Source organism: Homo sapiens, chromosome 1 (assembly GCF_000001405.40).
Source record: "Homo sapiens chromosome 1, GRCh38.p14 Primary Assembly".
NCBI classification, from domain to species: Eukaryota; Metazoa; Chordata; class Mammalia; order Primates; family Hominidae; genus Homo; species Homo sapiens.
In genome coordinates, this window is record NC_000001.11 from 168439777 (window position 1) to 168461090 (window position 21314).

Consider the following 21314-nt stretch of genomic DNA (forward strand, 5'->3'; position numbering starts at 1 on the left):
TTCCTGGGAGAGTCACTGGTTCACAGTGTGACATGGGGTATCGGTACGAATTTCATAGGTGCCATTTTCTCCCCTCGCTGTGGAGAGCGGATCTCTTTAGGCACTGAGCCGCTTAGAACATCACTGCGGTTTTCAAAGAAATATGGTCTTGCAGTCCAGAGACAGGAGGTGGCGCTCTTTCTCCTGAAACAGATTGATGTCTGCAGCTTGGCTTGCAGACTGTGCGGGGGATGCAAACTGAATAAGATCTCTGCAGTCTGAAGGCATCCAAGGAGACCTGGGCAAAATGGCTGGTCAGGACTGCCTGCCAAGTATAACTATTCCCTCACTTGAATGCGCCCTAGAGGCGCCAGCTGTGCTTGGGCTGCAGCACCGACCAAGGTGAACACACACAGCCTCCTTTCCACAATTTTACCGTTAAGTTGCTGCATTTGCAAAGGAAAATCTTCATTGTCACAAATGATGACTGTATCTGTCTGGGCTTTAGATTGTGATAGGGAAGAGCCTCTCCATCTCTTTTGTATGATAAGTATACTTATCACTTATTACATGGGAAGGTGAGCGGTCCAGGGTCCTCCCTGCCATTTTAGGTGAGACAGCATCCCAGGAGAATGAAGAAAAAAAAAAAAAAGGAAAAAAAAAAAAGCAGGATCTGGGAGAATGTCTTACCTGGAGGACCTGGCTTTTACCTGGGAGATGTTGCAACTTCTCAGTGAGGAAAAACCTGACATTAGCTCTCCTTTGAAGACATTAAAGAAAAGCAAAAACAAAACAAAACAAAAACAAACGAACAAACAAGAAAACAAAACCAAACAATTTCATAATGAAGTGAAAAGATCACTGGATTGGAATTCAGGAGTCTAGTAAGGCCACTTACTGGCTGTGAGACTTAGTCAGGTCACTTACCTCTGGTCCTCAGTCTCACTTTGATTTTCAGTAGTTATTGATTACTACTGAAAATCAAAGTGAGAAAATTACTACTATTGATTCAGTAGTTATTGATTAATATCTCTTCCAGCACCACATTACATAGCATGTATATGTGTGTGTGTGTGTGTGTGTGTGTGTGTGTGAGAGAGAGAGAGAGAGAGTGAAGAGAGAGAGAAGAGAGGCAGGCTATCAAATAGAATAGCTTTTGGGGGGAAATTTGTATAAGGCAAGACAGAAACATACATTATTGGGGACTGAGGAAAGCCTTTCACTTTAATTTCCATTTCAATCATTGAAGCTCATAGTGACCATGCCCAGTGAAAAAGCCATGCCATTTTCTTCTTCTGGGAACTGAGATAGATCCCTCAGAAGTATCACAATCAATATATACATATGTACCTATGATCTCCATTCAGTTGCTAGAACGGCTGTGTGCCTTCCATCGAAGCCTCTCTTCTGGCTTCTGAGGTGGGGGGCAACTTCAACAAATCAGGTTCCAATGGGGAGAGAGAGGGAGCTCTTCCTTTGCTCCTGGGGCACTGGAAGCATGTGGTAGAGGTGAGGAGGGAGGAATCATGGTGGGGGCAGGAGGTGGTGTTCCAGGGACATGGGAGGAAACTGCAGTATTGCACTCCTACTTGATGGGCTTGGCCATTCATCAGCCATCACCAGCTGTCAACATGAACTGAGAACCTCCTGTGTGCAGGCTAGGCACTGGGGATGCCTCTGGAACCCCACGCAGTCTTTGCTGTCAAGGAGCTCACTGTCTCATCAAAAGAGAATAGATAGAGTCTGTTTTCCCTTTAGCCTGAACAAGCACATTTAGGCCCTAAGGGCTCAGAGGGCTCTCCTTCCCAATCTTCCTACCCCCTTGCCCAAGGTTTGGCTAGACACAGTCAGTAATAAAAAGGATGCTTTTCAGACCAATGGATGCAGCTTTGCATGTGCTTTGCCCAGTATGCAGATGGCTGCCAGGCCGCCCTATTGAGGATTCTGTTTGCGGGAATGTGCTCTGTTTCCTTAACTGTAGGCTTTGGGGACCAGAAGTGGCCAGGGGCTTAAAGGCAGCTGAAGTGAAGCAGCTCTTCTGCACACTCATCAGCATCAGGCTTCAAGCTGCAGTGAGGCATGGACCTGAGATAACTGCAGTGCCCCAGGTGGGATGCTGCAGTGTCCTTGGGAATACCCGTGGCTGCTGCAGGACACACTGAGCACAGTGGGCCACGGTTGGGTCTGAGCTGCCAGCTGCAGGGTGAGCTGCTGACTCACTGCTGCAGCCATGAGACCTTTAGCCACTGGAACAGCACGGGGAATTCTTTCTTACTTTAAAGGAGTATGTGATGGAGAGGAGGTCAATGGGATGATAAGTCAAAGTGTGAGCCTAAAAAGCAGCTATAAAAATTTTCATAGAATTCTTGGGCAGAAATGTTTTTATCAGCCTTGGAAGAATGCAGTCATATTGGGGAAGTTATTCAGTCAGTTGGTCAGCATGTATTAAACACCCATCGTGTGCCTAGCGTTTATTGTGTGCTTAGATTATAAGGGGTAAATGAGGAGTAGAAGATGTTCCTTGCCCCACTTGGGGATTATGATAAGACTGGCACTTAGAGAGCCTTATTCTGTGCCAGACACAGCATTTGACGTGCGCTAGTTTATGTAATCTCACAGTAACACCATAAAAATTATAGGTATTTTAATTTATTCTACTGTAAGTTGAGAAGTTAGGATTTGAACCATGTCAGTTCAAAGTCAGAGCTCTTTACCACCATGCAATTATGTTGTTCGAGAAGTGCACACAACTGGAGAACAATACAGGGGGATTCATGGTTAAGTGCTAAATCATATTTATAATACAAGCATTTATGATGAGTCCAGAATAAATCCCTATCAATCTGCAACCCTGGGTCAGCTGAAGTGTGTAGATTTGCTTATGTTTAAGCAAATATTGAGCCTGCAGAGCGAGTTTTTGAGAAGGTGGAGGGTCAGAATGAGCACTCGTAAGGTCAGGGAGTGGCAGCTGTGGGTACCATCAAAGGGATAGCATCAGGTGACCTGCTGTGAGTCTCAGGCCACTGCGTGCCCAGAATGGTCCTAATTGTTGGGGAAAACACAGAAAGATAATTACACATATTTTTGCCCTTTGAGAATTCAGTCTGGTTGGATTTACCTGATCAATTAATCAACTTAGGAACTATTAGCAAAATAAGAGGAGAATGAGGTTCATAAGGAGTTGAAGAGGGCCCATGACCATCCCATTCAGTCTTTAGTGGGTCAATATTTGTGTTAGCAAGGAGACCATGAGCCTTTTAACAGATGATACTGACAAAGACTCAAAAGCTCTTAAATGTTCCTGTGGAGATACTGACTATACATCTGTGGCAGAGCTGACCAGAGCTACCTAAGCCCTCTGGTTTCAAGGATGAGAGATAATCCTGGGCAGCTGTCAGAGAAAAATCTCTCATGAAACTGATGAAATGCCTTTGTCTTTTGGCTGGTAGAGCTGATTTTTCCCGGGACACAAATGTGCCAACTCTCTGACCCAAAGCCCAGTGTCTCATACACTTCTCGGGCACTCATTTGGGCTCATGGATTTAGGTTACAGTATCTCCTTGTCTCTCTTTCTCTAGTATTTAGCTAAGGTAGTGACTGATACTATTGACCTGATCCTACTTCTGCTTTGCCCATAGTTATTAATTTTTTTTGATCCCTTTCAGGGACTCTATAGACTTTAGCTGGCTGGCTGAGTTCTGATGGGGGTTTTAGAAGCTTAAACATTGTGAGGAAGATGAAGAAATGAATAAGATCAGGTAAAGATACCTTCCTGGACAATATCCTTTGGCGGAATGCCAGAAAAGTAACAGATGAGTTCAGGAAGACTTCAAGGGCAGCATCTGAGACCCAGACCAAATCAGGGTCCCGGAAACCATGGAGAAAGCAATTTCCGTGACAGCCAAGCAGAAGGAAACTTATCAGCTCATACCTGAAAGAAGTTGCTCTGGCACTGTTTTATGGGAATGGAATTATTAAGAAGGTGGGGGTGGGTGGTTATGGGCAATGAAGAATAGATCAAGCAAAAAAATTTGAGTTGAGGCAGGGATAACCAGAGAAGACTGATAACCATGTTGACTAGTCCCAAGCTAAAGAGAATGCTGAGGCTTAAATTACAATGATCAAGTTATGTTTCTTCTATTGAAAGGTCTCTATTCAGAGAAAATAAAGTTGTTTTTGAACTGGGAGTACCTGGCTGTACCTGTTCTGTACTGAAAGAGACCGAGCGAAGTGGATTAACACAGAAGAATAAAGGGGAGAAGCCAGGGCCCAATAACCTGTTATTTCAAAGTAAAACCACCGCCTTTGCGTGGTGGTGATGTAGGATTCTTTCTGTGTGGTTAGACTCACTGAGCAGCTTTCTCTTTGGGGCTCTCCTAGGCCTATTTCCTGGTGCAACCAGTGACTGAGTGAGACCCATATTCCGTGGTAGCTAAGAAATGGCTCTGGGCATGGGCTGGAAATAGAGATACTTAGAAAATTGTTAATTTCTCAGCTGGGGGTGGTGGCACATGCCTGTGATCCTAGCATTTTGGGAGACTGAGGTGGGCAGATTGCTTGAGGTCAGGAGCTCCAGCCAGCCTGGCCAACATGGTGAAACCCCATCTCTACTGAAAATACAGAAATTAGCCAAGTGTGGTGGTGCATGTCTGTAATCCCAGCTACATGGGAGGCTGAGGCAGGAGAATTGCTTGAACCCAGGAGGCGGAGGTTGCACTGAGCTGAGATCGCACCACTGCATTCCAGCCTGGGCGACAGAGTGAGAGTCTGTCTCAAAAAAAAAAAAAAAAAAAAAAAAAAAAAAGAAAGAACGAAAAAGAAAATTGTTAATTTCTTCAATGCAGGGTTGTGTCTCACTCATCTCTTTATCCTCGGCACCTAAGAAAGTTCCCAACACATCATAGTAAGCCAGTTATATATGTTTATTGAGCCATTTTAAATGATTTGTGCTTTGGGATTGGCTATGTGGAAGATAAAAGATCTAAAAGACAGTGTCCTGTTTCTGTTGCCTCAGAAGTATTTCTCAGATAATAAAATATTGGCAGATTTCTGATGATTCTCAAGAAAACTGGGAAATAGAGCTGAAAAACATGGAGGATAATAAGTTATCCCAGGAATAGAAGAAAAGAAAGTCCCTTCAAGAGAACTTATTGAGGTTTTGGTTTCTCCAAGGATAGTGTGGTATAAGGAGGCAAATTGTTGGAGCAATGTTTGCAGGAAATGTTTTCTCAACATATGAGGTGTTTGTCAGGTGGATGAGGACAGTGTGTGCAGGACGGATGTGGTACAAAAAAGCCCAGCCAGTGAACTTCCTGGGGTGGCTGTTGGTGGGTTGGTTGGGAGTTGGTGTAGCTGGGGCACAGGTGAAAGGTGGAGATGAGACTAAAAGGGCTACAGCTGTGGGTAGTATGATTCCATTTTCCTTCTAGAAAGATGACCCTGGTGGGGTGGCTCACGCCTGTAATCCCAGCACTTTGAGAGGCTGAGGCAGGCGGATCAGGAGGTCAAGAGAACTAGACCATCCTGGCCAACATGGTGAAACCCCGTCTCTACTAAAAATAGAAAAATTAGCTAGGCGTGGTGGCATGCGCCTGTAGTCCCAGCTACTTAGGAGGCTGAGGCAGGAGAATCACTTGAACCCAGGAGGTGGAGGTTGCAATGAGCCTAGATAGTGCCATTGCACTCCAGCTGGGGTGACAGAGTGAGACTCCGTCTCAAAAAAAAGAAAATACCAGAAGGAGGCCAGGCGTGGTGGCTCACATGGCTCACATCGGTAGGCAGAGGTTGCAGTGAGCCGAGATCGCACCACTGCACTCCAGCCTGGGCGACAGAGCGAGACTCCATCTCCAAACAAACAAACAAACAAACAAAAAAACAAAAAAAAAAAAAAGAAGAAAGAAAGACAACCCTGGGCATAGTGTAGAAGGAGAGGGGAAAGGAATGATGGGGAGGCAGCAGGTCCAGGTAGGATTCAACTGCAATAACCTGAGTGATAGCTGATAAGAACCTGAGCTGGCACAGTGTCAGCCGGCGGGAGAGGAGTCAAACTGGGAAATGAGAGGAGTTGCACCAGACTGAGCTTATCAGTTGTCTGGGGTTGGGGATGACAGAGCAGAAAGAGTCTGGGAAGGTGAACGTTCAGGGTTTGAGGTCCTGCTGCAAGGGACAACATTCTTTGAAATGTTTTTATCTTAAACATTCATGCAAATTTCTATTTTTTACTTAAAAATGTACCAATGTTTGCATTTCTATGAAAATAATATGTAAAACAAGTTTACAGACCGAACTTTCCTTTCCAAAGCTTCAGAGAAAATGGACATGTAAGAAAACTGCACCATGGTCGTGTGTGGTTTCTGATGCTCCCAGCAAATACCCCTTTTGAAAAGAGTGGAAGTCTTCCATGATCTGGCAACATCTCCCCTTGTAACCTTCGTTTTGGCCAAACTGATCTATTTACGGTTCCCTTAGCCTTCTCATGAATATTCTACTTCTCTGGTTTTGTATGTTTCAGATTTTCTGGTGCTTCTCCAGGCCATCTTCCAGGGCCAACTGAGATACTGCATCCTCCCTCCAGCCTTCCAGAACTATGAACCCCTTCTAGCTCCTTTCTCTGAAATTCAGCAGACTTTTTCTGCGCTGCTTTTATAATTTAACGGTAGATAAAATCATATGTAAAAAGAGCTAAAAAAAGTATTGTGACTATTATTATTATAGTGCTTCAAGGTTGTATGTTTTGTTTTTTTTCAAGCAGATTTTAAGTCCTAGAAGTCAGGGACTATGTCACTGATGTCTTTGTTGCTGCACTCAGCTCAACATATACTTTTTGGATAGATGCAGTCATTCTGTATATAGAAAACAAACTTATATTCAAGTAGAGGGAACAGATGGTAACTTTTTTCCCCCAGAATATATTTGTGACTTTAAGTTGAATGTTTATTCCCATTAAATGAACTATTTTATTTCCTCTGTAAAGCAAATTTAAATATCAGAAAATCAGGATATCTCCTCTCTTTATGTTTTCTCCTTTGATGTGACAAGTAAAAGGTAGGGCTTGGGTCACCTTAGGTGGCTGTGATTCTGATATTGTGCAAGTGCAAGCACTTTTTCTGTCAAGCCTGCCTGAGCCCAGTTCTTAGCTTTTAGGCAGACATTTCCCTGCTTGCAAAATCAAAAGCTAAGAGAAGTATGATGGGAAATTGCTTTCTAAAGACACCCATGCAGAAGCTTATGGCTTTCCCTGAAGGCCTCCTCTCCTTACACTAGGTTGGGTATTTCCACCATGTCACACTTTATTGTTAGTGTTGATGGCCTGGGCTCCCCAGTAGTGGAAGCTCCCTGGGGGGATGTCTGTGTCTTATAAGGCAAAATCTCATCAAAGAGTGTATTGGAGTTATTTCTTGAGAGAACATATGAAGAGAAAACTGGAAAATGTACCAGAAGGAGGTAGAAGGAGACAAAGATCATTTGATACTTTTTCAGTCCACTAAAGGTCTGAATCTGGTAATTATGGGTTGAGAAAATGGAGAGAAAAAATGCAGAGAATTTCTGGTGAAGCTGTTGATACAAATAGAAAGGCTGAATGAGGGAAGTCAAATAAAAAAAAGCAGAAAAGTATGGAACAAATGGATGAGGCTATGGTTTGGAGGAATCAAAACATAGTATATCGGTTAAGTGACTTTAGATTCAGAGAAGAAAATGGAGTCTTTTGAGTTCACTTCATCTCCTTTCATATCATCCTGGAACCACGTTCCAACTGGCAAGGCACTAGTTATCTACTGGATCTCTAAATCCTTTAGGAGGTGAATTTAACCTCCAAAATGTGCTTTGAATTGGTGGTTTCTTCACCATCATTATTATCGACGTCCTATGGCTGCCGTAACAATTTACCACACACTTAGTGGCTGAAAACAATACAAATGTATTATCTTATAGTTGTGTAGGCTAGAAGTCTGATATGGATCTCATTGGGCTAAAATGAAGGACTTGGTAGGGCTGCATTTCTTTCTGGAGGCTTAGGAGAGAGAATCTGCTTCTTTGCCTTTTCCAGTTTTCAAAGGCCATCTGCAGTCCTTGACTTGTGGCCCCTTCCCCTATCTCCACATCCAGCAATGTTACAGCTCTCTGCCTGGCTTTCATGATCACATTTCTTTCTCTGATCCTTTTTTTCTGCCTCCCTTTTCCACTCTTAAGGACCCTTTGATTACTTTAGGCCACCCAGATGGTCCAGAACAGTCTCCATATTTTAAGGTGAGTTAAAAGTTTCCATCTGCAACCTTAATCCCCTTTTGCCATGCAGCCTAATGTAGTCACAGGTGCTGGGAATTAGGGAGTGGACATCTTTGGTAGGCGAGGCTTTATTCTGCTTACCACAATCCTTGGTCACCATTATCCTGACCTGGATTGCTGCAAAGCCTGAGCTCTGCAGGCATCATACAGCCAGCAAAGAGCAGAGCCAGAATGTGAATGCAGGAGTCAGGCTGCCTGCATTCATTTTCTGGCTCTGCCATTTGCTGGCTGTATGATGGATGTTAGGAAGGCAAGCCTCTCTCAGCCTCAGTCTCCTGTTAAAGGAGGACACTAATTGCACCTACCTCATGGGTTGTTATTGTTGTGAGGATTAAATATATACCTGTCACGCAGGGAGCACTGTGTTGGCAATTGTTATTATTGTTACTGTTATTAGCTAGTTTCCTGGCCTCTACTCTCAACCCTCTCCACTCTATCCATACTGAAGCTAGAGTGATCTTTCTTAAACACAAGCTGATCACAGTCTTCCTTTTCATGCTATGAAAATCATTTATGCTATGGTGTTTGCTCCCCAACCTCTCTACATTGAGTCATATTAGGCTATTTGAAATCCGTTGAATGGGGCAGATATTTCACGTCTCTGTGTCTTTGTACACAGCACTCCTTTTGCCTGGACTTCCTTCCTCCCCTTGACTCTGTGTCCAACTTCATTCATACTTCAGAGCCAATTCTCTGAAATCCTGGGCAGAGCTGATTACCAACTGAACTCTTCTGCACCAGCTACGTATCTGTGCTCCACACCACTCACACCCGAGTGAGCCACACTGGCCTCATAGCTTCTGCCTGGAGTCTGGCACATACTAGATACTCAAGAAAAGAGTGTTGAGAGCACTGTGCTGGGAATTTATTCTTTGCAATTTATTGGAGTGTTTTCCTCATGAATTTTTTTCTGGTGTCTCCCTTCCCATGCTGCCAGAAGCATCCATTTGCCTCAAGGAGGAATAGGGTTTCTATAATAGGAATGCAAAATGAAAACTATCTAGCTTTTGATGCCCAGAGTAGGAATTATTTTAAAAAATCTTTTAGTTTTTTTTTTTAATTTAATAGTTTTGTGAAACCAGGACTTGCCAATTAGAAAGGGCTTTTCAAAACTTCTTTGGCCTTTTTAGTGTATTAAAAGCCAGCTTAGTCGAACTAGGTCTTAGAGATTCTTCTGTAGCATAGAGGGGACACCGTTTTCTGCAATTAACCTGGGCATGAAGTTTTGTTGCCCTGAGAAGAAGAAAGACAAGTGGCAGAAGAGCATTCCAGAGAGGAAAAGAAGTGAAAATCTCCCCCTTGAGTCCTGATGAATTTTGGGAAGGAGAGAAGACATGGGGTGGTGAGAATCTTGCATCACGCTTCTACCTGGTAGATATGGGAAAGCCAGAAGCAGAGGACATTTACATTTTCCTAGTTTCCTTTCAGGACTCTGGGAGGAAACTGCTTTGGAAGATATTCCTTGTGTCATATGGAACAGTCATGTTAGAGCAAAGAAAATGGCGAGCTACGGTTAAGCAGAGGGGGAATTTGAGCTCAGCTTCTAGAGGTCTTCCTCTGCTCTCAGGTAGAATGAGAAGAATCCAGAAATTTCTTCCTGCCCTACTGAGTGATGTGCCCTACTGAGTGATCATTGATGAACAATCATCCATGAATTCCTGAAGTTGAATAACAGGAAACTGTACTTGTTTTTCAAACCACTTGGCTACTGTAAGAAGCTGCTGGTCACAAAATGCATGTTCAAAAAACTGCAGTCCTACTGGCAACCCTTGGTTTGAGAGTGCAGCAGGGATACTCACTGCTGGCAATCCTGCCATATTTACAGCTTGTGTAAAAATATCATTCTGGGAACTTCGTGTTCTGTTGTCTACTTTGATGAACTCCGAATATGGTACTGCCTCACTTAAGATGGTGGGAGTTAGGAAGACGTCTGCTCCAGAGTTAAAAGCATTTGCAAAGTCATTAGCAATGAGACGTCGCACTTTTCTGTGCTTTGATGAAATAATTTTCCCAGTTTTCTTTTAATAAGAAAAAGTTTCCTGAGAGAATTCTTCCTCTCACCACATCATTGAACGCTTCTTGTCTAGTTGACGCATACATGGCTTCAACCATGGGTGGACACACTGAGTGGACACATCAGTGTCACATCTGTGACTACATTGTAGCCCATCAAGTCTTGCCATATTTAATGCCACTCCTGATGTGCACGATACATGATAGCAGACAATTGAATAACTGGTGTGAGGAATGGATACTTCAATTACTTTGGCCCCTTCAGACTCAAGGAGGTCAGCAGCTTTGGACCAAAAAGACTGTACTTCACTTAATAATTCTGGCACAAGATATTCCTTTGGAATTTCTATACATAGTTTGCTCACATCTGCCAAACCAAATAAATGGTTTAATAGGGTCCTATACTGTGGTACAATCATTGGTGTCATGTCCAGCCTGTACACTCAACACAATTGCTGCATCATCCACACATCTGGTTAAGATTCCTGGCACATCCATCAAGTTCACCAGGAGAATGAGACCATGATGGGAAACTAAACCATAGCTTGGTTTGAAACCAACAAGCCTGCAGTGAGCAGCAGGATTTCTGGTCGATCCTTCTGTAGCTGATCCTAAAGCCGACATAGCAGCCTCACTCCCACCTGAGCTTCCTCCAGTTATCAGCCAGTCTGAATCTTCATTCTTGCTGTGGGGATTCTGCTTCCTCTTTTCTCTATATTATTTTGAATAACTCAGGGGTTTTTAACTGGTCCAAACACACCATCTGTTCTTACAGATCCAATAGCAAACTCATCTAAATTTGTTTTTCCTATTAGTAGAGCTCCCTGATCCAACAACTTCGGAACTACTCTAGCGTTATAAGGTGGTACATAACCTTTCAGCATATTTGATGCACATGTTGTCTCAATGCCAGATGTGCTAAAGTTGTCTTTTACTGCAATAGGAATTCCATCTAAATCCCCAAGTGACTGTTCATGCTTATATCTCTTTTCTGATTCTTCAGCTTGTTTTAAGGCCACCTCTTCTGATGCAGTAATGTAGGCATGTAGAAACTTGGTCTTCTTGATAAGAGAGAGACATTTTTGACAGAGCTCTGTTGGCGTAATCTGGCCTTGTTTCAGTGCTGCAGAAACTTCTCAGAGGGTCCGGCCCAGCATGGTCCTCGTGCCCAGCCTGCCACCACAGGGGCCAGGCAAGGAGGAGAAAGAGGTCACCAGTTGCTAGTGACATTACATGGGCGCAGCCATCTTTAATCGTCACTGCGGGATTCTAAAAATTTTAAAAGCCACCTAAAGAGTGTTCCCAGTTTGCAGCAGGGTTATAATTCAAAATGTCACTTGCAAGTTGGTTATTTGGAATTCACAGGGGATATCTCTACATAGAAATAGTGTACTTACTAGTGACCAGGTTTCTAGCCCAAGTATAACTTAAAATGCAGCTGAAATAGAGCATATTTGAAATAAATAGTTGAAGATCATAATGGTACAATGCCAAAGTTTTTAAAAAAAATAACAAAAAAGAATTAAACTAAACCAGTTTATTTTGAATAGACTTTGAGGGAAAACACATTTAATTAAAAAGGGATAAGAGGTAAACGAAGATCCTAAAGAGGATGTCTCAGCCACTTTCAGGGTTTCACTGGCTCTTTGTAAATCTGATTTTCACTTGAATGTCTACAGATTCCCCTTTTCTTGTTATTGCTGTTTCTCAGGCATCAATCTTGTATATTGACTATGAAAATAGATTTCACATTTTTGGGTGGGAGGGGAGACTGGGGAGAATTCCTGTTATGTTCCAGGCCTGGAATCACTTGAGATACATCAAGGGACAAAACAAAGTTTCTGTTTCTGAGGAATTTTCTTTCTTCTGGAGATATTCAGACACCAAACTAATGAAAGATAGATATATCATAAAATATCAAGTAGTGATAAGTGCTTTGAAGAAAAAAATTGGCATAAGAGATGAGATTTTAGATACACTAACAAAGGCAAATCCCTTTGAAGGAGCTGCTGACAGAGTTCCTCAAAGAAGTAGGGAGTAATCAATGTGGCTCTGCAGGAGGAAGGATATTCTAGGCAGAGAGAAGTGAAGCTTAAAGCCCCATGCATAGGCAGTTTCCAGGAACAGCAGAAGACCAGTGTGAGTTGGGTGGTGTGGCAAGAAGACAGCATAAAATGTGGGGTCAGGGAGGTCGGACAGCCATGAAAGTACTCTGTGTCATACTCTAAGCGTGATTTTTTTTTCTATGTGTGAAGTTGTAAGTTTTTCCACGAGAATCATGAAAGACTTGTGTACAAGAGAAAGAGGTAATGGTAAAAGATGGATGAAAGAGGGAGAAAGCATTTTTTTTTGTCATATTTCTGAGTAAATAGATAATTTGAGATGTATTTACTCAGGGATAAATAGAAGGGGTAGAGCAGGGAACTAGTGAAGGTGGCAGGGGTCAGATAATTTCCAGAGCTGACCGCTAGATGGTGTATTTAGCCCAGGACAGCTTGGTTACTGTCCAGAGCAAGCCTGGGGTGGGGAGGAACAGAGCAAAACCACAAATTTACTTAGACTAAGAAAGTTTATGCTTCAGTGTAAAAACTTGTCACTTGCTGAAATCATGGGAAATAATTTTCCTAAGATAGAAGATAGTGAAAATTATGAGTAATTTACACAACCTTTATTGTTTTGATAACACTAATGTTCCTTCCTGCTTTCACATCTTTTTATAGGAATGAAGAGGGAGCTAAGACTTCCAGGTGCTCTAGATAATACCACCCCACCCCAGAACAACCACATGATTTACAGGAGAAGTGGAAGGGGGACTGAAAGTCTGTGTGCTCCTGCCAAGACTCCAGCCCCTTCTTCCTCAACATACACAGCCTCTCCATGACCATCAGACCACAAGGCCTGACATCATCTGGTTCTTGATCCCATTTTGCATGAGTTACTACAAGAATTCTGGGACTCTCAGGTCCTCCTCAGCCTTAGACTCTAACTCTCATAAGGGTCTCTGCAGGGTATGGCAATGGAGCCTCCCCATCCGCTTGCTCTGCTTTCTGATTCTCCATGGCACTTACGGCTCCTGCCATTTATATAGCTTATGTATGCTAGTGGGAGCTCTATGCAGGCAGAGGTTTGTGTCTGTTTTGTTTACTTCTGTATTCCCAGGGCATAGAACAGTGACAAACAGCATTTAATAAATATTTGTTGAAAGGTTAAATATTATTTACTTGGAAGAACAAGGCCGGATCTAAGCAGGCCTGTGCATGCATGAGAAGTGGAATACGGGATTTTCAAGAGCTTCTGCAGGCAAGGAGACTAAGTATTTCCTGCCACCTGCCAACTTTCTCTGTTTCCTTTGATCCCAAAGACCCTGTGGAGTTCTTATTGAAAGGATGGTTTAAATGACAACTTTCACATGATCTCTGAGAGCTGTGCAATAGTTGGCATTTGCCTGCAGGCTCTCCACCAAGGGAGGCTTGTTAGCCTAGAATGGGGTTACCACAGGGGATTGTACAATCTAATTTTCTGAGTGTCTTGGGATGTTGCTCCTCTCCCCACTCAGACAAGGAAGGCGTTATAATATAAGCCTTTGTATCATCTCTTTCACATCTTAATAATCAGTACAGGGAGTCCCCCTGCCCCTCAGGTGACATTAAAAGTGCTCAGTTTGTATAACTTGCATAAGGTCCATATGGCTTCTGCCCTTCCCACTACTCAGAGGCTACTTGAGAGGCTGCAGGGAAACACCCAGCTGTGGGAGTATGGCCTGCCCATGAACCCTTTAGCATGTTCCTTCCCCTTAAGTTTAGCTGCTTTATAGACTGTGAGCACCTTGAGGGCAGGTCTGGGTCTTGACCATCTTTGTAGCCCCGCAAACCAAGTTCAATCCCCCAAGCTCCCACTGCCAACCCAAGGTAGTTTTGTTGGTCTACAGCAAATGGTAAACTTGGCTGATATTGGCATGGTGATGACTTTCAGTTTTAATAGGGAGTGTCACATTTTGGCAGCAGGCATTGCAGTACCTAGGCCCCTGCCTGTGAGGACATTCCTTCTGCCTCTTGACTTGCTCCATTTGCTTTGTGTTGTGTCTAATGCATTGCCCTTAAGTCAGAACAGCTGGATGGATCTCTGTAGAATATTTTTTATTTAATGTTTTTTGAGAACCGGCAGGGAGAGTGCTGCTTGAAAGCACACAGGCCATGTCTATTTTCTTTCAACATCTACAACTTACAGAAAGAAGCTAGATCACAGGCACATGGAAGCTAAACTCTACCTTTTCTAATGTAAACAGGCCTTTTCATCTGCTTTCTCTCTTTGTGAACAGGGAGATCTGTAAGTGACATGGGTGAGTGATGGCAACAGTTGGCTCCCTAGGTGGTCTGATGGTGACAGTGACTCTGCTGGCACCTTGTGATAATTTTGATACTCTTTCCCAGTTTGTGAACATCCTCCTTTCTCCCTCCAGCAACTTGACCATTTCACTGCAGTTAGCACTTCCAGAAAGGGATAAACCAAGTAAGGGATGTGGACAGCAAATGAGTCAATTGTGCTGCAAGTTGGTCATTCCAAAAACATGTGCAACAAGAGGGAGAGGCTGAAATTAATGGCCAGGATAATGATTTGAGATTATTTATGGCACAGTGCTTCCCACTGAATTAGGTTGAATAATTCTTTTTTTTTTCATTAGCTCAGAGGGCCTTATATGTATATCTGTCAGAACAACAGTTCATTGAGGTGGGAGAAGAATGTTGTTTCTATCATTGCAGGAATGATGACAACCTCGTACATATCCCCTTTCTTTTTATGTAATATCCTCCAAAGTGGGGTACAAGCATTCCTTCTGTATGATAATTTCCTGGAGCACAGGAGTAAAATATTAGAGTTTCTATTTATTTGTATCTAAAATAAGAAAGAAATTAAGCTCTAAAAATATATACTATATGGGTTGACAGTAACTTACATATAAAATTTACAAGTAAATATATTTTGGGGGCACATGCTCAAAAGTTTTTACTCATGGGGTGGATGATCAAGAAACTTTGGACACAATGATATAAATAATCATGAGGAGAAAAACCCGTTGGAATATTAGAAGTTTCTCTGAATCAGGTAGTATTCAAAAGAGGAAAGATATGTTCATGTAAGTCATTATTATAACAACAAAATTTAAAATTGTAACTCAGGGATTCTCATCCCAGAAATATTACTGCATATTACCTTAAAGCTCATGTCAAGACAAGATGTCAAGACAGAAATTTAAACATGTCATGAAAAGGGCAAATAAAATTGACTCAAGTTGTGATTTGAATATGGAGAATGACAGAAGAGTTTCTGAGACACACTGTGGGGAAGGTGTAGCAAAATGGTCCCTAAAGGAGAGGTCTTAGTCTCATGTGCAGGCACCAGAGGTGTCTTGTGCAGGGAGCACTTGGTAAGTGAAGCATTGCTGTGCCATCCCTGCAATAGCACCAGCGATAGCCAGTCAGGATGGCCGTGCAAGAGCTGAGCCCCCTTTTCTCTTGCCCTTTCTCTTGTCAACCTTTTCTTCTTATTATTCTATTGAAAGGCACATTTTCTATTACTTGTTGGGGTATCTGCTGAGAGGAGATATGTACCTAAGAGATTAGACCAAATATATCATGAGATTCTTAACAGACTGAGAGTTCAGTGGGAATATTAAAAAGCAGGCCAGACACAAAGGCTGATTTTTCTATTACTGCCTTACTCCAAGACCATTCCATTCGGTTGAACTCTGCAAGTCAACTAATGCACAGCTCATCTCTCTGGCTGGAAAAGGGCTGCAGTTTCATCTTTTGGGCAATGCTAAAAAAAGTCTCACTCACTATTTTAAACTTGAGTTCTCCTAAGCAAGTGAAATAAGTCTTTGTTATAGATATTGAAGCTGGATGACTCCTCCCCATGGCCTGGTGTGGACTCCCTCTCTAGAAGGCATAACTATTGCTGGGTTAGCTGACTCAGAGGTTCATATACTCTCTGGCTGTGGGTCATTCTCTCTTCTGCTCTTTCAAGGGTCCTTAAGTAGGGAAGAATCAGAGTGGGAAACTGCTGGGTAGTGTTCCATCAAGGCAGCTATGGGAATGTTCGAGCCAAAGGAAGGTGGCTGAAGACATGGAGGGCAGGGGGCCAGTGTACAGGGAAGACCTAGTGGGGTCAGGACTGGTGTCAAGGCCAAGGTCAGTTATTGCACCCAGTCATGTATTCCTCATTGATGTCTTTATACAAAATGACAAATGTATACAAAATGACATGCTGGAAGCCAGCCAGCATTAGGATACAGGGACTTATGCCCCCTTTTCTGTGTTCTACTAGTTTGCTAGACTTTCATCTTTATTTTTGATATTTTTCCCCTCAAATTACTGGAGAGACTTTGAAATATGCAAGAGGTATCTCTTTTTTCAAATTCCATCTCTTGCCATCAGCATGAGGACCACTTTTGGCTTATGGACAGTCTGTAAGACATGTGGCATGTGCTGGTGACTTTCTTGTCCTTGCAAAGTCACAGGAATGTCACTGCCTGGATAGGCTTAGGAATCACAGCTCTGGCTTAATACCTGCTCTTTCTCTCCATCTATCTGGGGATGTTTGATGACTTTTCAGTGTAGAATGCAAACAAATGAAGATGTATCTAAGATGCCTTTGTTTAGCAACTGGCTGGCTATTTTATCATGGCTTTAAATTTAGCTTTTTACTAATGACTATGTGCATTTGGGAGGAAAGGCTGGCTTTGCAGGTAAGAAAGCAGCTGTGTGTGTCTTGTTTAATGCCTTTATCATATTGCCCTCTACAATCAAACTTCTTTTTCATTAGCTACAGAAATGTTTGAAATTAAGCCTATATTCAGGGCAAGACTGAGCACTTCAGAGGATTCAAAGAAGTAGGAGCCACAATTTCTTTTTTAGAAATTTCTTTCTTTTCTTTCCTTCCTTCCTTCCTTCCTTCCTTCCTTCCTTCCTTCCTTCCTTCCTTCCCTTCTTTCCTTCTTTTCTTTTCTCTTTCTTTCTTTCTTTCTTTCTTTCTTTCTTTCTTTCTTTCTTTCTTTCTTTCTTTCTTTCTTTCTTTTCTTTTTTTCTTTCTTTTCTTCTTTCTTTCCTTCTTTGACTTTCTGGAATGCCAGATAAGTAAGACACCCATGGGGAGCCATGGGCGGCTTCTGAGGAGAAAAGTCTCCTTATTGCCTTCATGGCTGTATGCCCCGAGAGCATAACGGCTCAGTGGCATGCCACAGGTTGCTCGGGGAAATAACACTGCCTTGAAGCAGTGGAGTATAATCAAACATCTTGGCTCCTCCTGAAACCTACTCCCACCCATTTCAGTCCCGATAAGTTAAAGATCTTAAGTAGTTTAGACACACGCCTTTGCTCGAGGAAATTCACAGAAACCACCACTGCTATACATCTTATTGAATGACTCACAAGTTCTCCTTCACTGATTAATCCTTTTCCTCATCCCTTCCTACCCTCCCATTTGCCCTAAGAACAAAGAGCTTGTAAACCAATAAATTGGGTGGAGGCTGAGAGCTCGGGGGTGTGAGCAAGCCTCCGAGGCTCTGGTCCTCTGGACCCACCTTTTAAACTCTTATTCTGTCTCTTTCTAAATCTTTTGTCTCTGCTGGACTCGGGGTACCCGCTGGGTGGTGTGGGGCTGTGGGGCTGGTTTCCCCAACTCTCTCTCTCTCTCTTTCTTTCTTTCTTTCCTTCTTTCTTTTCTTCTTTCTTTCTCTTTCTTTCTTTCTGTTTCTTTCTTTCTTTCTTTCTTTCTTTCTTTCTTTCTTTCTTTCTTTCTTTCTTTCTTTCTTCCTTCCTTCCTTCCTTCCTTCCTTCCTTCCTTCCTTCCTTCCTTCCTTCCTTTCTTTCCTCCCTCCCTCCCTCCTTTCTTTCTTTTCAAACGAAACTATTTCTTTTCAAACGAAACTATTCACTCTGATGATAGTTTCATTTGCTGTGCAGAAGCTCTTTAGTTTAATGAGATCCCATTTGTCAATTTTGCCTTTTGTTGCAATTGCTTTTGGTGTTTTTGTCATGAAGACTTGCCCATGCCTTTGTCCTGAATGGTATCGCCTAGGTTTTCTTCTAGGGTTTTTATGGTTTTGGGTTTTACATTTAAGTCGTTAATCCATCTTGAGTTAATTTTTGTATAAGGTGCAAGTAAGGGGTCCAGTTTCAGTTTTCTGCATATGGCTAGCTGGTTTTCCTGGAACCATTTTGTTGAATAGGAGATCCTTTCCCCATTACTTGTTTTTGTCAGGTCTGTCAAAGATCAGATGGTTGTAGATGTGTGGTGTTATTTCTCAAATCTCTTTTCTGCTCCATTGGTCTACATGTCTGTTTTGGTACCAGTACCATGTTGTTTTGGTTACTGTAGCCTTGCAATATAGTTTGAAGTCAGGTAACATAATGCCTCCAGCTTTGTTCTTTTTGCTTAGGATTGTCTTGGCTATACAGGGTCTCCTTTGATTCCATATGAAATTTAAAATTTTTTTTCTAATTCTGTGAAGAATGTCAATGGGAGTTTGATGGGAATAGCATTGAATCTATACATTACTTTGGGCCGTATGGCCATTTTCATGACATTGATTCTTCCTATCCATGAGGATGGAATGTTTTTCCATTTGTTTGTGTCCTCTCTTATTTCCTTGAGCAATGGTTTGTAGTTCTCCTTGAAGAGGTCCTTCACTTCCCTTGTTAGCTGTATTCCTAGGTATTTTATTCTGTTTGTAGCAATTGTGAGTGGGAGTTGATCTATGATTTGGCTCTCTGCTTGCATATTGTTGGTGTAAAGGAATGCTTGTGATTTTCTCACATTGATTTTATATCCCATGACTTTGCTGAAGTTGCTTATCAGTTCGAGAAGTTTTTGGGCTGAGATGATGGGGTTTTCTAAATATAAAATCATATTGTCTACACACAGAGACAACTTGACTTCCTTTCTTCTTATTTGAATATCATTTATTTCTTTCTCTTGCCTGATTGCCCTGGCCAGAACCTCCAATACTATGTTGAATAGGAGTGGTTAGAGAGGGAATCTTTGTCTTGCACTGGTTTTCAAAGGGAATGCTTCCAGCTTTTGCCCATTCAATATGATATTGGCTGTGGGTTTGTCATAAATATCTCTTATTATTTAGAGATATGTTCCATTACTACCTAGCTTATTGAGAGTTTTTTAACATGAATGGATGTTGAATTTTATCAAAGGCCTTTTCTGCATCTATTGAGATAATTTTGTGGTTTTTGTCTTTGGTTCTGTTTACGTGATGGATTACATTTATTGATTTGCATATGTTGAACCAGCCTTGCATCCCAGGGATGAAACCAATTTGATAATGTTGGATAAGTTTTTTGATGTGCTGCTGGATTCTGTTTGCCGGTATTTTAATGAGGATTTCACCTCAAGGTTCATCAGCGATATTGGACTGAAGATTTCTATTTTTCTGTTGTGCCGCTTCCTGGTTTTGGTATCAGGATAATGCTGGCTTCATAAAATAAGTTAGGGAGGTGTCCCTCCTTTTCAATTTTCTGGAGTAGTTTCAGAAGGAATGGTACCAGCTCTTCTTTGTATTTCTGGTAGAATTCAGCTGTGAATCCATCTGGTCCTGGGCTTTTTTTGGTTGGTAGGCTATTAATTACTGCCTCAATTTCAGAGCTTGTTATTAGTCTATTCAGGGATTCAACTTCTTCTGGTTTAGTTTTGGTAGAATGTATGCATCCAGGAATTTATCCATTTCTTCTAGATTTTCTAGTTTATTTGCATAGAAATGTTTATAATATTCTCTGATGGTAGTTCGTATTTCTTTGAGGTCAGTGGTGATATCCTCTGTATCATTTTTCATTGTGTCTATTTGACTCTTCTCTCTCTTCTTATTAGTCTAGCTAGAAGTCTATTTTGTTAATTTAAAAAAAAAACACAGCTCCTGGATTTGTTGATTTTTTTTTGGAGGGTTTTTCATGTCTCTATCTCCTTCAATTCTTCTCTGATCTTAGCTATTTCTTGTTTTCTGCTAGCTTTTGGATTAGTTTGCTCTTGCCTCTCTAGCTCTTTTAATTGTGACATTAGAGTGTCAATTTGAGATCTTTCTAGCTTTCTGATGTGGGCATTTAGTGCTATAAATTTCCCTCTAAGCACTGCTTTGCTGTGTCCCAGAGATTCTGGTATGTTGTCTCTTTGTTCTCATTGGTTTCAAAGAACTTATTGATTTCTGCCTCAATTTCATTATTTACCCAGGAGTCATTCAGGAGCAGGTTGTTCAATTTCCGTGAAATTCTGTGGTTTTGAGTGAGTTTCTTAATCCTGAATTCTAATTCTATTGCACTGTGGTCTGAGAGACTGTTTGTTATGATTTCCGTTCTTTTACATCTGCTGAGGAGTGTTTTACTTCCAATTATGTGGTCGATTTTAGAATAAGTGCCATGTAGCACTGAGAAAAATTTATATTCTGCTGATTTAGGGTAGAGAGTTCTGTAGATTTCTACTAGGTCCACTTGATCCAGAGCTAAGTTCAAGTCCTGAATATCCTTTTTAATTTTCTGTCTCATGGATTTTTCTAATACTGACAGTAGGGTGTTAAAGTCTCCCACTATTATTGTGAGGGAGTCTAAGCATCTTTGTAGGTCTCTGAGAAATTGTTTTATGAATCTGGGTGCTCCTGTATTGGGTGCATGTATATTCAGAATAGTTAGATTTTCTTGTTGAATTGTTCACTTTACTATTGTGTAATGTCCTTCTTTGTCTTTTTTCATCTTTGTTGGTTTAAAGTCTGTTTTGATGGAGACTAAGGTTACAACCCCTGCTTTTTTTTGCTTTCCATTTGCTTGGTAATTTTTCCTCCATGCCTTTATTTTGAGCCTGTGTGTGCCTTTGCATGTAAGATGGGTCTCCTGAGTACAGCACACTGATGGGTCTTAACTCCTTATCCAATTTGTCAGTCTATGTCTTTTAATTGAGGCATTTAGCCCATTTACATTTAAGGTTAATATTGTTATGTGTAAATCTGATCCTGTCATCATGATGCTATTTGGTTATTTTGC

The 21314-nt window shown here is 41.8% G+C and overlaps 1 long non-coding RNA gene and 1 pseudogene across 7 annotated transcripts in view, besides 1 other annotated feature; both read right to left on the minus strand.

The window, feature by feature from the left end:
* Positions 1 to 21314, minus strand: part of LOC125312414 (uncharacterized) — a 95450-nt gene that overhangs the window by 39586 nt on the left and 34550 nt on the right. The window lies entirely within an intron of this gene.
* Positions 163 to 312: a silencer, noted in NCBI's record as "silent region_1544". NCBI's record gives its function as "represses an Ori minimal core promoter by ATAC-STARR-seq in GM12878 lymphoblastoid cells {active_cell/tissue: GM12878}" and the evidence as "EXISTENCE:reporter gene assay evidence [ECO:0000049][PMID:35858748]".
* On the minus strand, positions 9900 to 11539 carry QRSL1P1 (QRSL1 pseudogene 1; annotated as a pseudogene).